Raw genomic sequence first — 14,385 nt, 5'->3', positions numbered from 1 at the left:
AACCAGTCTGTGCCCAACCCAATGATCAGGCAATTTCTTGAGACTGGGGAGTTCCGTAAAGACATTTTATAGCACTTCAATTGTTCAGCAGTTTAAATTCTTCGTAAGTTCCTTTTTCCCTCACCAATGGAAAAATGTCAGGCTAATGTGATTAAGGATAATCATATTTGACCTGGCATCAAGTTACTGTACAATTTGGATTTTCCCTATAACATAAGTCTTCAGCTTGCTCAGACTTTCCCATTCCTAAGTCACAGCTAAACATGTGTCTTCAAGAAGGAAATCTGGTCCATATATCAGGGATTCAGGCAAACAGATGCCCAAATTCCTGCATTCCCAAGCTGTCTTCTAAAACCCAAAGCTGCACGCGTGTATGGCCCTGCTGTGTGCTCGTGACCCTGCAGCTGTGTGTGACTTCCAGGATGGGCTACTTTCAAGTCTCTCAACGACAACAGGGGTTCCTAAGTAGTTCTTTGTTCTTTCCAATGCTTAAAATCTCTGGCAGTTAACAGTTTTAAAGTGGCAATTCTCTAGGAATAACTTCCAAATCTATCAACTCATCAAGAATACAGAACTAACGGTTGCCTGATGAGTTATCAGAGAAGGTAAAGAAAGAAAGATGAGTCCCCTGAATTCTTGTGGGAAGTCCTGTCACTACCCGTGTTTTCTGCCTGGCAAGGCTGAGGATCAGAAACACTGGAGCTGCGAAGCCCCTACAATTGAAGCTGGATGGCAGAGCAATCACCTGTCACTTTTTTATTGAAACATATCAGGTTCCATTTTTGGCCAAGTGTCCTGCACTAAGTAGAACTTTCTCTGACCCCAAAATGGCTTCTCAGGTTTCTGTGCTATCAGGTCCAGCTCAGTTCAAACACTTCGGAGTGCCTATGATGGACCAGTGCTGTGCCAGGGGTATCCAACACGTGGGCTGTCCCTGTTTGGGCCACATATTCATGCATTGCTAATAGTCATTTGAGTTGCAACATCTTTTGCGAAGAAAATCTATCTGTTGTCCAAGAACACCCATGATAGCAGACTCCCCAGTGTTCAGGGGCTCACTGGTGACTACTCAAGGGGCTTTGCTGAGAGAAAGAAGGCACAGTGAACCATGTGAACACCCTGTGGATACAGCCACCCTCTGACAACTCTCAGCCAACTTTTTCCCCACACCGATACTTTCTTAACTGCCTCCCTAATGTTGTTGTGCCCAAGTTCAATCACTGGAGCCCGGTGTGGAGTAACGGGACTTAAGAACATTGTCACATGCCAGGAGAAACAGGAATGAACAAGGTCTAGTTCACTCTTTCTCCTACCTTAGTGGGTTATCTGAATGGGTCTCCATGTGGGTCTCCAGTCCATACTTGCAAACAAACTCCTTGAAACATACTGGGCAGTGAAAGACTTCATCAGCTTTCTTCTCCAAGTCACCTGACTGCCCGTCTTCTACCATCTGAGGGAAAAGGAAAAAAGTGAAGTCATGAAGGTCTCCCACATGGGATGGCTTCGGAAGAGAGGCCAATGCTAAATTCAGAGATTTACAATAATAAAAGGCAAGGGTTGCATTATCCAATCCTGATTATTAAGGACCTGACCATTCATTCATTCACACAACAAATACTCCCAGAACGCTACCATCCATCCATCCATCCATCCATCCATCCATCCATCCATCCATCCATCCATCTGTCCATCCATCCATCCACCCACCCTCCCACCCACCTGACAAGTACTTTTGCAGCACCGGGTATCTGCCAGGCACTGGTAATAAAAAAGTGAGGACAAAAGAGTCCCGAATGCTTATGAAGCTTGCGCTTTAGCTAGAAAAAACAGGTAGAAAGCATGGAAACAATTGTAAAAGCTCTTCATTTCATCTCTGGGCTCAGCAGAGGGGCTCAAGAGGAAGTGCACACTGGTACTCTTTTCTTAGACACTTTACAGAAACAGTATGGGAAAACACACGTTAAGAGCTTAGGATGTATGTCTGCCAAGTCTCCACACTGAGAAAATAAAGATTAGTGGTATTTCTGACAGAAGTCCCCTGAGCAGGTGAATCTGCACTGGGAGCCAAGAGGACCTTTTTAGCTGGTGCTGGGTCTTCTCTCTCTGACTCGGCATCGTGACTCAGTTTCCTCTTGGAGGACAATCGCCTACGTTTCAGAGGAGATGGAGGGGCTGTGGCTGTGGCACTGTTAGGGTCCTTCTCATGGATCTTCATATGTCTGAAAAGAACAAACACACACACAATGTGATCTAACAAAGAAGTCAGTTCATTTATGTTTTTAATATTTTATATTTAGGCACTGGTACTTAAATTTTCTTTAGTTAAGAGATATGAGGTATAATTTATACAGTGACTTCTATCTTTTTAAAACTCTATAATCTCCTTGAACCTCTCTTAAAGCTCTTACAAGTGCTGTCCAAAAGCGTTGCTTAATGTCTTGCTGTTCACTGGAAGACATTCATGAACTTAACTGACATTAACAAGATGAAACAAACTATCTGGTGACCTGTTCCACTCATGCAGACAAAAAGTACCATTTTAGGACATGGAATTCTATAGAATAAAGAATTCCCAGATACCTAAACTGTTCCACTAGTTCATAAACTAAGTGATAATGCTATCCTTGCCCCAAGAACCCACTGCCCATCTATCTGTTGTACACATCTCTCTTTTCTGCTTTGGAAGCATTTTGGTGGTCAAATTTGAGACATGCTAACAGAGCAAATGTCCAGAGTGCTTAAGACCTGAAAGCAGTTCCCTGTTGTTCGTAGTATTATGTGGATTTATAGATCACAAGAGTTAACTCGGACAGTGGAATGAAAAAGTTACATGTGGTAACTCTAATATCTACAGGACTAGGCTACCCATATAGTTAAGTATTACATAAAATATGTGCATGTCTACTCCAAAAAGAGAGTCTTATGGGTTATTCAACTTAAGTGACCTTACTTTATTGAGTTCTAAAACAAACATTCTAAGAACAAGGTCCCAAGATATACAGGAAACGAATGACATTACAAATGAATAGTGAGTTTTAATTTCCTAATTTTGCAACATAAAAATGATTTAGTTTTGCCAATGACAATCATCATCACCCTCATCACGTAGCCGTGGTTGAACTGTGCCAGATTTAGGACCATAGCCACAGCTTTTTATGAATAACTATTCTATAGGATTATCTTGCTTGAGAAATTCTCAGGAGTAGGGAAAGACAGCAAAATTTTCATGAGCTATCCTGTCAACCTTCTGAAAAGAAGTTCTGCTCTCTTTTTAGCTGTACTCTCCTTTTTTGTTGTTGAGATGGAGTCTTGCTCTGTCGCCCAGGCTGGAGTGCAGTGGCACGGTATTGGCTCTCAAGAGGTCATGGCTGCAGTCAGCTATGACCATGTCATTTCACTCTAGCCTGGGAGACAGACTGAGAACCGGTCTCAAAAAAAAAAAAAAAAAAAGGAAAGAAATAGAATAATAATTAAGAATCACAGACAACCATTATTTAGTTCTTGGCCTCCTAAAGCCTTGTGAAAGTTAATGGGAACAAGTAGCTTTGTTCTAAGCACCTCTATTCCAAAGTGATTATGATTTGAGGACACCATCCCTCAATATCAGCATTAGGAGCAAAAAAGAAAGGCTGGCAAGTTTTTCACACTCCAATTTTAGAAATGCTCATTTTAAAGAAAGCATCTAAGAGTTGAGAAAGTATAAGAGATGTAAACTAGCATCAAACCTGCCCTTTCAATAAATTACTCAAAATTAATTTTAATTAACAAAATCCACGCCCTTTTCTACAGTTGATATGAGAATATTAAAAATTAGAGGTTGACAACTGTAAACAGTTCATGAGCCCATTTCAAGCTATATCTTTTGAATCATATGACACAATATTTATAGAAATACAAAATGGTAATTATTTTGTTCTTGGGATTTATGAAAGAAGCTGTTTTCATAAAGGAGGGACTGGGGCCAACACTTAGTTGAGGGCCTAGTAGGAACCTTAGACAGATCATTATTTCCATTTTGCAGATGTGGCAGCTGAGGTGCAGGGAGGCCAACCTGCCCATAGCCTCAGAGCTTGAGCCGACCTATGTGCACCAACTCTGAGCTCATGCTCTTCCCCCAAACCCAGCCTATCTCCCAAGACCACGCCAGTCAGTTAACTCTGTTCTGGATCACCAGCTGGAATCTTAAGGATATAACCTGAACCTGGACACTTCCTCTCTGGTGGACTGTGGCCCAAGGTGGCACAGTTACTACCAAAGTGAAGAGGGTGAGGAGCCCACAGCTCAGGCATAGAACATTCCCACCTCCAGTTTTGCTCAAGGACTGCAGAGCCTCTGGCTTAGTCTGGAAAACCAGGGCTGCCCTTGAACTGCATCACTCCTAGAAGTGGCAGAGTGACCAAAGCAGGCCAAGGCAGTCTGACAGACAGCGGCTCACTCCAGTTCTCCCACTGAGCCCCGGAGCCCCAGGTGCAAAAGCACAAGCACCGCTCCATTTCAGGGTGAAATCCCCAGCTACCGGGTACAACATGGGAAGTTCCTGCTTTGTCCTTCCAGCCGCTTGATGAGCAAAAGCTGCACTGACAACCTCAATTCAGCCCACGGGTGAACTGCAGGGTTGGAGGGGTCCGGCCAGGTCTGACGATGGATTTGATGTAGTGAGAGATTCTCCCCACTGCTCTGACCCCTGCTCTGCTTCCCTAGCCTCCAACAACAGGAGTGGCAACTGGAGCTGTTCATTTCCTCCCAAAAGCTCACAGGAAGTGCAGCCAGGATCATCATGATGAGACACTAATGACCCCTTCCCTCAAGCTGTGGCCAAAACAAATTAGGGGTGGTGGGAAAGAGAGTATTCCAATCCTTAGAAGGCTTGGGTCTTGTCTTTCTCTCAGGGTTGATTTCAAGGGCTAATTTGTCTAATTTCCACGCATCCTGAGAGTCAATAAATGACAAGGAGCCCATGAACTGGAAGGGAGCTGGGATGGGATTCAGCCCTCTACTCTGCATAGAAAGTCCCTCTCCACAGCAGACTGGAGGCATCACCATTTAGTTCTGCTTGGACACTTCCACCAACAAGGACTTCTCCATTTTCACTGGCTGTTCTAATTGTTAAAACCATCTCCCTCACATTGAGTCAGAAATTCTGTCTATCTGTCCTCAAGGGAGATGCTGTGTTATAACATCAGTCCATGTTCTCATCTGCGTGGCAGCTCTTCAAATAGTGTAAGAGGACTACTGCGTTTCTGTAATGCGTTCTCTTTTCAAAAGTGAACAGCCCCCCTCAAGCTCTGCTTGCAAGTCTGTGGAATTATACTGGTCCTAAGTAACCTTGGAATGCTCTCCAGCGTACAGGTATCCTTCATGAAATGCTGGATCCAGATGCAAACTCCAGTCTGGATGTGATCTGACAGCTCAGGGCACATGGCTGGCACTATGACCTCCAGAAGGTACATAAAGGGAGCCTGGGTGGGTTCCATTGGGTGTGTTTATACCCTCAGTTCCTACCAAGTTTGTTGTCAATCACAATCCCCACGATTCCTTCATTTACTGCTATCAAACCACATCTCCTCCATTCTGCACCTGAGCAGTGCATCTTTTCACCTTCCAGACTGGCGAGGGTGAGAAAGTCTTACATTAACAATATGCGGTGTTGGTGTGGTTCAGAAGACTGGTACTCTCCCATCGTTGGTGAGAGTAGAAATGAGTGACTGCCTTTCTGCAAAGTGGCTGAGCACTAGAGATATGAATTTTAAATATGTATGCTCTTTGCCTCAGTAATTCTACTCCTAGAAATCTGTCTTAAGGTCTAATAACTGAACAAATGTGCAAAGATCCATATATAAGGATTCATGTTTCAATGGATACATTGCACAAACACTAGCAATGGCAGGAATTCCTACCAGCTGGTCTTAGTATCTTAAGCTGGCCCCTCTGCTCTTCCTCTTGCTCTCTTATTTTCCATTTTCTATCCAGCAGCCAGACTGAGCATCTAAAACACAGGACCAATCATACCACTCCCCTGCTTAAATTCCTCTGACAGTCCCATTCTTAGAATTAAAATAAATCTGGCTTCCACCTATCTGCTAGACTTCAATAGTGGAGCACCCTGCCCTCTTCCATCCCAAAGCTCTTTCAGACAGACTAGCCCCTGTGGGTCCCTCAAATGCATCCAACTAGTTCCCGCCTCTGGGACTCAAGATGCTTGCTGCTCCTGCCTGGAAAACTGCACCCCAGACCTTCCCAAGCCTGGCTCCTGCCGTCCAGGTTTCGTGCCACGCGCCTCACCTGCAAAGCCTTCCCTGAGGCCCCACACCCTACTTGTGCAGATGCTCTTACACCCACAATTCAGTGTTCCTTCCTCCACAGCACACAGCAGTAGCTGAAGATATCATGTATTTTACTCGTCTGACTGTCCCCTCACCCTCAGTTGAAAGTAAGTTCCATTACAGCAAGAACCTGGTCTATGTTGTTCTCTGCACGAGCCCTGGTGGCACATAGGTGTTGGTCAGTAAGTATCTGCTAAATTGCTGGATGGAAGAACAAACAAATAAATATTTGTTGAATTCCTGAATGGACAAATGAAGGAAGGAAGGAATGAAGTATATGTAGAAAATGTTTGCTTCACTCAGAGTATTACTATGACATACACGCTCAGGTTCCAGGACATCTTATAACTTGCCTTGCTAGAATTTGGTGTGAGCAAACATGACACGAGATTATGAACAGTGCCACACTGAAGGGACTTCAATCGAAAACACTCCAACAATGAACACTGAGGACATGTGTTAATGTTTTCGTATTGGAATTCATATGTTTGTTCATTCAAAACAATACCTACACTCATTGTAGAGAGAGGTTAATATAAAATCCAAGTAGAGTTCTGCCTTTCCATAAAATTCTGTAATTTTCTTTTGGAAGCATGACACTTTAACAGTAGGAATCCTACCGCACTGTGGTCTTAGGAAGGAATTTTATCAGAACTTTTGGAGTCAAGAGAAGTTTTATCCTATTCATAACACCCAAAGAGGCTTTTACAGTGATGAACGAACACAAATATAGCAGATGTTTTTTAAACGTGGAAAAAACCCCCAAATCTGAGCACTTTTTGGCACAACTGGAGCCTACTTTGAATCTAGGAGTAGATGCTGATTTTCAACTTAAATGGCTTTTCTCCCACAAGTGTAATCATTTGCTTTCTAAAATTTGAGATGGTCCATTTTAGCAGGGTAGGTTGTCTGTAAGAATATTGAAAACATCAGAGTTAAACCAAAGAGTACACCCTGTGCAAGGGCTGAAGGCTGGTCAATAACTCCAGGGAGACAGACCAATCCCTAAAAGCTGACCCTCCCTCCCTGCCTCCCTGAATGTTCTCCTTTCCAGTTCCAAATACAGGAACTTTCTGCGGACCTTCCTTAGGCATGGAAGTCATTAGATTTGGGAATGGGGTAAAGCTCTTAGCTATCCAAGCACTGGCTTGCTCTGAGCAGCAATCAGGAATCTGGGTGGAAAGATGGTGTAGACAGAGACCATGTGATGCAATGAAGCTTTTGGGTGGTCTCTGAGCAGTGACACATTTGAGACGTGTGATCTCTGTTCTGCCACCTAGTAATTACGGAGACTCCAGAGAATCTTGGGCTACCTCAGCTTCAGTTTCCACACTGGTAAAATGGGGACAATCCTGTCAGTCTCCTAGAACACCAGTGTTCACTCTGTAGGCTTCTGACCAGCAGCATGGGCACCACCTGGGAGCTTCATGCAAATAAAAACCCCCGAGTCCCATCCCAGGCCTGCAGACTGGTAGCGCTGGGTCGGGGCCCAGCAGTCTGGCTTGCACAAGCCCTGCAGGTGATACTGAAGCCTGCTTAAGTGTGAGAACCATGGGATCACAGTGAACTTCTCCAGCTCTCTGCACCGTTTGCAGGTTCGGTCAACCATTTGACCAGGACACTGACATTTTTTGGATACCAGCATTAAACATCTCCCAGACTCATCTTCCAATATACCAGCAGTCTCTCCATCAGTTTACCAGGCATAAATGCTTAACCAAAAAGTTGGGAAATTTAACATTCTTAAAATTCTTTTGGGGGCAAAATCCTTTGGGAAACTCTCAACAAGTTTAAATGTGATCCAAACCAAAGATTACTTAGTCATAGCTGCCCTCAGAGCAGGTCTCAGACATTCTTCAAGCTCCCCGTATGTAATTTGCATGTGAAGGTTAAACCTCAGGAGAAATCTAGACACTTCCAGTATTTGCTAACTTTTCAGTCTCAATTTCCTCCTAGGACTGTTAATGAAGGAGCCAACTTCTTTGATACTCTGAGTGAATGGTACCGTAAGGAAAGTCACTCCGTCAGGACACAGGACACTGTATACAAAGCACACACAGCACGGCCCAGGACCTGCCAAGCTGGAGGCAACAGGTTCAAACAGGGTCTAGCAGCCTGGTTATAGAGACATCCCCATCCGTACCTGGTGCTCGCTTTTTTTTGTCCAACAAAGCTTTGTGATAAACAAAGAGGGAACGAATAAGATTAAGAACCCCCACAGCTGCACAACCTACATTTCTGGCCAAAGTATGATTCTAGAAAGATGTGTGTATGTTTTCCTAACAAATGCCTAGGAGTTCAGTGTGGAGGGCTGTGGATGATGCTTGTAATGCCAATCAAGTTCTATGCAAACAAATGGGGGATGGAGAGCAGACACAGAGAGGGAGGGGGCGGGGGGAGGACAGCAAGGCGGCAACTGAGCAATTCCTGGTGTGGCCCCACCTGTAAAGTACAGAGGCACCTTCTAGTAATTCAGGTGTTGTATGGGTTCAGTCATGCTTGTCCGGAAGGCAGGTCACACCAGCTCTCCCAGGGTGTGGAGGAAGGTTAGACAATGCGTAAGCACCTGTGCTGACCTCCAAAGCCAGCCCTTAGAAAAATCTAAAGTCAGCCTGGCATGAAGTGTAAACCCACAGTCTGTAGGCTCGCTGTGGGAATGCCGTCAGCCAGGCAGCTCCCAGGGCTCGCAGGATGCTCCTGGTGAAATGCACCGGACACTGCAGCCACCACCACTGGCCAGTTAGATCCCACAGTCTCTGATGTGGGCAATATGGCCCACAGAGGCCATGACAAAGTCAAGCTTTGCGGCTGATACTGACGTTTATTCCTACTGCCTCCATTCTGGGAGGTGTCTATAAAGACCACATGCTCCACAGCATGGATGTCTTCTACAAGCCCCCACTTTCCCTGCAATACTAGGGCAATACGTCCCCAGAATAGAGAACGTCTCTCATCTGTTGACTGTAGCATGGTATTCCAAGGGAGCCAGTATAAGGATAGTTAAATTTTATCAGAAGTTAAGGAATCTTAATTTGAAGTCCAGGAGTACCAGGGGTTCATTTTCATGTTCCTTATAAGCAAACGCTTTGGTGGACTCTCAATCTCCACGGCTCATCAGCCCAGAGCTTCTCTCCAAACCCAGGCATGGGGTCATGGTTCTCCAGGCTGGACCACCATCTCTGCTCTCCTACCTCAGGTTCCTTGGCAGTATTTGGAGAGAGCAGTTCCTTTTCTATCTTGGTCCTGGGTAAAGACCCTTCTGCATTCTTGGTACAGATACTTCCTTAATGATGCATTGAGCTAGAATTATAATGCCTGAAGGATATGTATTCTTTTCTTTTTGGAAATAGAATCTTGCTGCACCACCCAGGCTAGAGTGCAGTGGTGCAATCCTAGCTCAGTGCAGCCTCAAACTCCTGGGCCAAGGGTTGAGGGATGACATTCTCTTGCTAATGACTGTCTACTTAGAAAACTGAGGGCCCTTCTCTGCTGCTTCTACAGCTCCTTCCTCCTCTCCTGACTTTCAGATCCAGTAGGGGGTAGAGAGGTGTTGGCAGTCCACATGAACCAGCACTAACCTTTTAAAAATCTTTTACTCTAGACATGATTCCTAACTGCCCTACCCTTGAATCAGTAACACCCTACATCCTCCTGTGCTTGTCTTTTTCCCTTGCCTGCTTGTGTTTTGCTAAAATAAATTTTCATGTTATTTGGTCCCCATATCTATTTACAAAATCCACAAAAATACATAGTAATATGTCCATACAAAGTCAGACATTCTTAAAAACAAACAAAAGACCTCAGAAGTTGGATGAATTGATGTTCCTCTCACCCAAAGAGAACTCTCATTAACATAGAGCTATAATCGGCCAGCTAGGACCTTCCTGGGTGAGTCCAGAGACATCAGTGGAAGGCTCTCATTTCCCACGGACAGGCCTTAGATACCTCAGGGCAGCTGCTGTGTTGCCATGGCCTCTTCTTCTTCCCCAGGCTAACCTCCCTCAGTTTCCTCAACATTTACATGCAGCCTGGGGTCCAAATCCCCACACTCATGGCTGGCCTCTCCCAGCAGGGATGCTGAATATCCCCATATTACAGTCTGAGGTGATGGTGCCCCAACTGAAGTCATCATTCCCAAAGTGATCTCAAGAGCCCAGAGCTGTCCCCTCTGAGGGAAGCCATCGCCGGCCACCAGAGACCAGCTTCCCAGGGCAACGACTAAAATCATACACCCCAATCCCCACACCTAAGCTCTGTAGGAGGAGGGAAGTGCTGAAGTCACGGGCCATTTCCCACTTCAGCTTGAAAGGCGATCACTTGAGGTGTCTTCAAGAAGGCAGGACCTAGTTACTTACTCACTTTCTGTGCAGGAGGAAGAGATGACTATCTTCATGATAGGGCAGTGCTAAGTCACTGCTACTCCTCAGCCAGTTCCAAAAGAGGAACAAGAAATGCACGGGTGGGGCCATCCCAGATGGTCGGCCATGCGCCCACAAGGGAAGTGGAAGGTGCCGTGGGCGAGTGCAAGAAGCAGCGTAGTGAAAAAGGAAAGCCACCCACTCTGGGGATGTTGTGTTATATTACTTACGGGCCACTGAGAAACTGCTGGCAAGGAAAGGGGAACCAAGATTGGAGAGAGAATGAATATAAATGAATCCAAAGAGAAATGTCACCTCCCAAGACCAACCAGGCGACAGAGCCCTTCTGTATGACCAAGGCCGTCTATAGCCACTTTTATCTAAAACGGATGGACATGGTGCACACATGGCCTCTGTTCTCCAGAGATGTCGAGGGAGGAACAGTACACCATCTACCAACAGAAACTGGAGAGGAGGGCCCCAGAAGAACCTGCAGCATGGCAGACCTCAGTTTTCCCACCCATAAACTTGGAACAGCAGTCCTCTTGAGCAAGCTGGGTTATATAAGCATGAAAAGGAAGAATTAAGTGCTGACACCACAGGACCAATGAACCCATTATGCAACTGAATCTCCGGTTTAAGGAAATACAAAATCTGTCTCCACTGAAGGCCAACAACCTTTCCACTAAGCATCCCAGAGCCCCAAGAGAAGCTGAGGATGGCCCACAGGCACACAGACATGCCAAAGGTGAGATGAGGATCCGTGTCATGAATACACAGGCTAAGACTTCAGTGCTTCCTGTTCATGTTTCAGTGGGGAGGGTGGGATGGGGGTTGGGGGGGGGGGACAATGTTGCCACTAATCACCTTCCTTAACACATCAGAAAAAGGTTGACAGTGAGTGGGCACGCTTCAGTGTTTGCTAGCACCAGCTTGTTCAGCCCGAACAGGTCGGACAGGTTGGATATTTAAACAAAGGCGGAAAAATGTAAGGTATAAAGCCCTGTGAAGTGCTACGGTGGAAATGCTGCCAGCTCCCTGCAGGTTTCATTTTGTGATCTAATGCTGGAAGTCAGGCTCCCTCTTGACTTTGCTACTTTCGAGTTATGAAACTAAACCGGACACACACTCAGGACCTGTTCAAAGTTCTCAGTGCATCAGACGAGGGGCATGGTGGGAGAGGACACCTGGGCATGTTGCATTCCGGAGCAGAGGCCAGCTCTCTGCTAGTCATCCTACCCCCAGCAAGCCCATCCCTAACCTTCCCTAACCTAATTTCTCACTCTCACCACTGCCTGCTGTTCAAGTGTGGGCAAGCACGATGTTCCAGATTCTGCTGCCATCCACCAGTTTTACCCGGTAAGACTGAGCTGCTGAAATACCTCAACAAGATATGTCAAAAATACTGTACTGCTTGCATTAAAGATAAAATTTATTTTGCATTTCCTTTCCAAAACACAAACTGACAACAACTCTGCTAAAACAGAAGAAAACTTAAGTTATAAATATTAGCATCCAGTTGGCCAAATGATAAAAAACTAATTATGAACCAGATCATAAATTTGAGAACCAGTGATAGGACGAAAAAGGCTTGATTGTTGCTTAACATGTCCACTGAGGGGACAGTGTCCACTTGGACAGTTTTATGATTGTTATGCTCTTTGGCATAACTGAACATGAACTTGGTCAATTCAATTCAGAGAGAAATTCTAAATCAAAAGTAAGCATCGGCCACAAGAGGTTTTTCAAATATTTCTTCAAAAATATAAAATAGGCCAGGCATGGTGGCTCACGCCTGTAATCCCAGCACTTTGGGAGGCTGAGGTGGTCGGATCACCTGAGGTCAGGAGTTTGAGACCCGCCTGGCCAACATGGTGAAACCCCATCTCTACTAAAAATACAAAATTAGCTGGGTATGGTGGCGCATGCCTGTTATCCCAGCTACTCGGGAGGCTGAAGCAGGAGAATTGCTTGAACCCAGGAGGCAGAGATTGTGCCATTGCGCTCCAGCCTGGGCGACAAGAGTGAAACCTCATCTCAAAAAAGAAAAAAAAAAAAATACACACACACACACACACACACACACACACACACACATATACACACATACATATATATATATACACACACATACATACATATATACACACACACATATATATAAAATAAGCTGTGCTGATTGTTAAAGGGTATTAGAAAAGAAAAAAACACAAAGTAAAAGGGAAAAATGTTTTGAGGAAGGTCAAGTCTAGCAAATAAAAAACAGGCTACACAAGAGACTGTCAATTAAAATTGGCCAACTTTTAGCTTTGATAATTTTCTTACACTTTTTATCTAATTTGAAGAATAAAATTCAGTGACAGATCACACTTGCCTACCCTTTTTCTCAGAGGATAGTGGCAGCTTTCGATTATTCACAGATTTCTAAAATGCAAAGTAAAAATTCTGGAAAGAACCACAGAATCTCATCTAATAGTATTAATGCAAATCCACACTAAGAAAGTATAAAAATAGGCCAGGCATGGTGGAGTGTGCCTGTAGTCCCAGCTACTCGGGAGGGTAAGGTGGGAGGATCGCTTGAGCCTGGGAGGTTGAGGTTGCAGTGAGCTATGATGGCACCACTGCACTCCACCCTGGGAGACAGAGTGAGACCCCGTCTCAAAACAAAACAAAACAAAACAAAAAAATCACACACACACACAAAACCCAAGCACACACACATATATATGTAAACATCATAGAACAAGCAATCAAAAAAGAAGAAAAAAAGGCAAGTGTTCAAATAATAAGGATTTGCACAACTTGGCCATGGAAATTCAGCACATGATACACAGCACTGTTACCAGGTTCTTGGGTTCTTAGAATGCAGTCTACGTTGCCCCAATTGTTAAGAAGCTGGGAGTCTATTTTCTCACTTTAGTAAATCCATCTGCTGAACTAGTATGTATAAGGAACTGCTGGGTTAAATATCTTAAGGGAGAGGAGAAAGGAAGGCCTTGAACTACAATTTGTTGAGCACCTAACGTGAGCCAGAGGCTTGAGTATATGTTACAGCATTTAATCCTTCTAACGGATTTTGTGAGTAAACGTTACCCCCACTAAAGATGAAGAAATTGAGGCTCTTGACCATTCCAGGGAGTATCCTTTATCAGCCCTGGCCAGAAAAGTTAGGCGGAGCTATCAGAGGACTCAGAAGCACCAAAGAAAATGTCGCCCTTCTTTAAACCACTACTGAAGTAAAAACAAAAGCACCCAGGTTTCAAATCCAGCCAACGAGATGTAAAGAAAGGCTAAATTTGTTTAATCAATCAATAAGCTTATGTGGTGAAAGCTTAATAATGCTACTGGGGGGAACTGGTAGCCCAGACATTCTGCTGCAATAAACAGATTTGTAAATATCCGCTCTTTTTCTCCATGTCTTATCTAGTGGAAAATCTCCACTCTGGAGGGAAGATTATGGGCCTCTTACCAAGGTGCACTCTCAAGAGTGAAAAGCATATTAAGTGGAATGATCATGGAATGGGATATTACACTTACATATTTTTTTTTAATCTGGTTGAAAAGAGAAGTTTCAGCCCTTCTTAAAGAAAAGCTTTCTAAATTATACCAGAAGTATGTCTATTTTAGTGTTCAGAGTACTAACATATGCTGAAAACTGCTTTGATACCCAAGTATTATCATAATGAAACTACAGTACCAAATAT

The 14,385-nt window shown here is 44.4% G+C and overlaps 1 protein-coding gene across 4 annotated transcripts in view, besides 3 other annotated features; it reads right to left on the bottom strand.

The window, feature by feature from the left end:
- Positions 1-14,385, bottom strand: part of RREB1 (ras responsive element binding protein 1) — a 144,238-nt gene that overhangs the window by 38,958 nt on the left and 90,895 nt on the right. For all 4 annotated transcript variants that reach the window (NM_001168344.2, NM_001003699.4, NM_001003700.2 and 1 more), the window contains exons 7-8: positions 2,075-2,219; positions 1,314-1,450 (exon numbers count right to left, since the gene is read on the bottom strand). In NM_001168344.2, the coding sequence (NP_001161816.1) occupies positions 1,314-1,450; positions 2,075-2,219 (282 nt within the window). The remainder of the gene's footprint in view (positions 1-1,313; positions 1,451-2,074; positions 2,220-14,385) is intronic.
- Positions 10,679-10,728: an enhancer, noted in NCBI's record as "active region_23940". NCBI's record gives its function as "activates an Ori minimal core promoter by ATAC-STARR-seq in GM12878 lymphoblastoid cells {active_cell/tissue: GM12878}" and the evidence as "EXISTENCE:reporter gene assay evidence [ECO:0000049][PMID:35858748]".
- Positions 10,779-10,928: an enhancer, noted in NCBI's record as "active region_23939". NCBI's record gives its function as "activates an Ori minimal core promoter by ATAC-STARR-seq in GM12878 lymphoblastoid cells {active_cell/tissue: GM12878}" and the evidence as "EXISTENCE:reporter gene assay evidence [ECO:0000049][PMID:35858748]".
- Positions 11,693-11,987: an enhancer, noted in NCBI's record as "tiled region #2698; HepG2 Activating DNase matched - State 5:Enh". NCBI's record gives its function as "activates a minimal TATA promoter and a strong SV40 promoter by Sharpr-MPRA in HepG2 cells {active_cell/tissue: HepG2}" and the evidence as "EXISTENCE:reporter gene assay evidence [ECO:0000049][PMID:27701403]".

The sequence above is a fragment of the Homo sapiens genome, chromosome 6, assembly GCF_000001405.40.
Source record: "Homo sapiens chromosome 6, GRCh38.p14 Primary Assembly".
In the NCBI taxonomy this organism is placed as follows: domain Eukaryota; kingdom Metazoa; phylum Chordata; class Mammalia; order Primates; family Hominidae; genus Homo; species Homo sapiens.
This window is presented reverse-complemented; position numbering and strand designations above follow the sequence as displayed.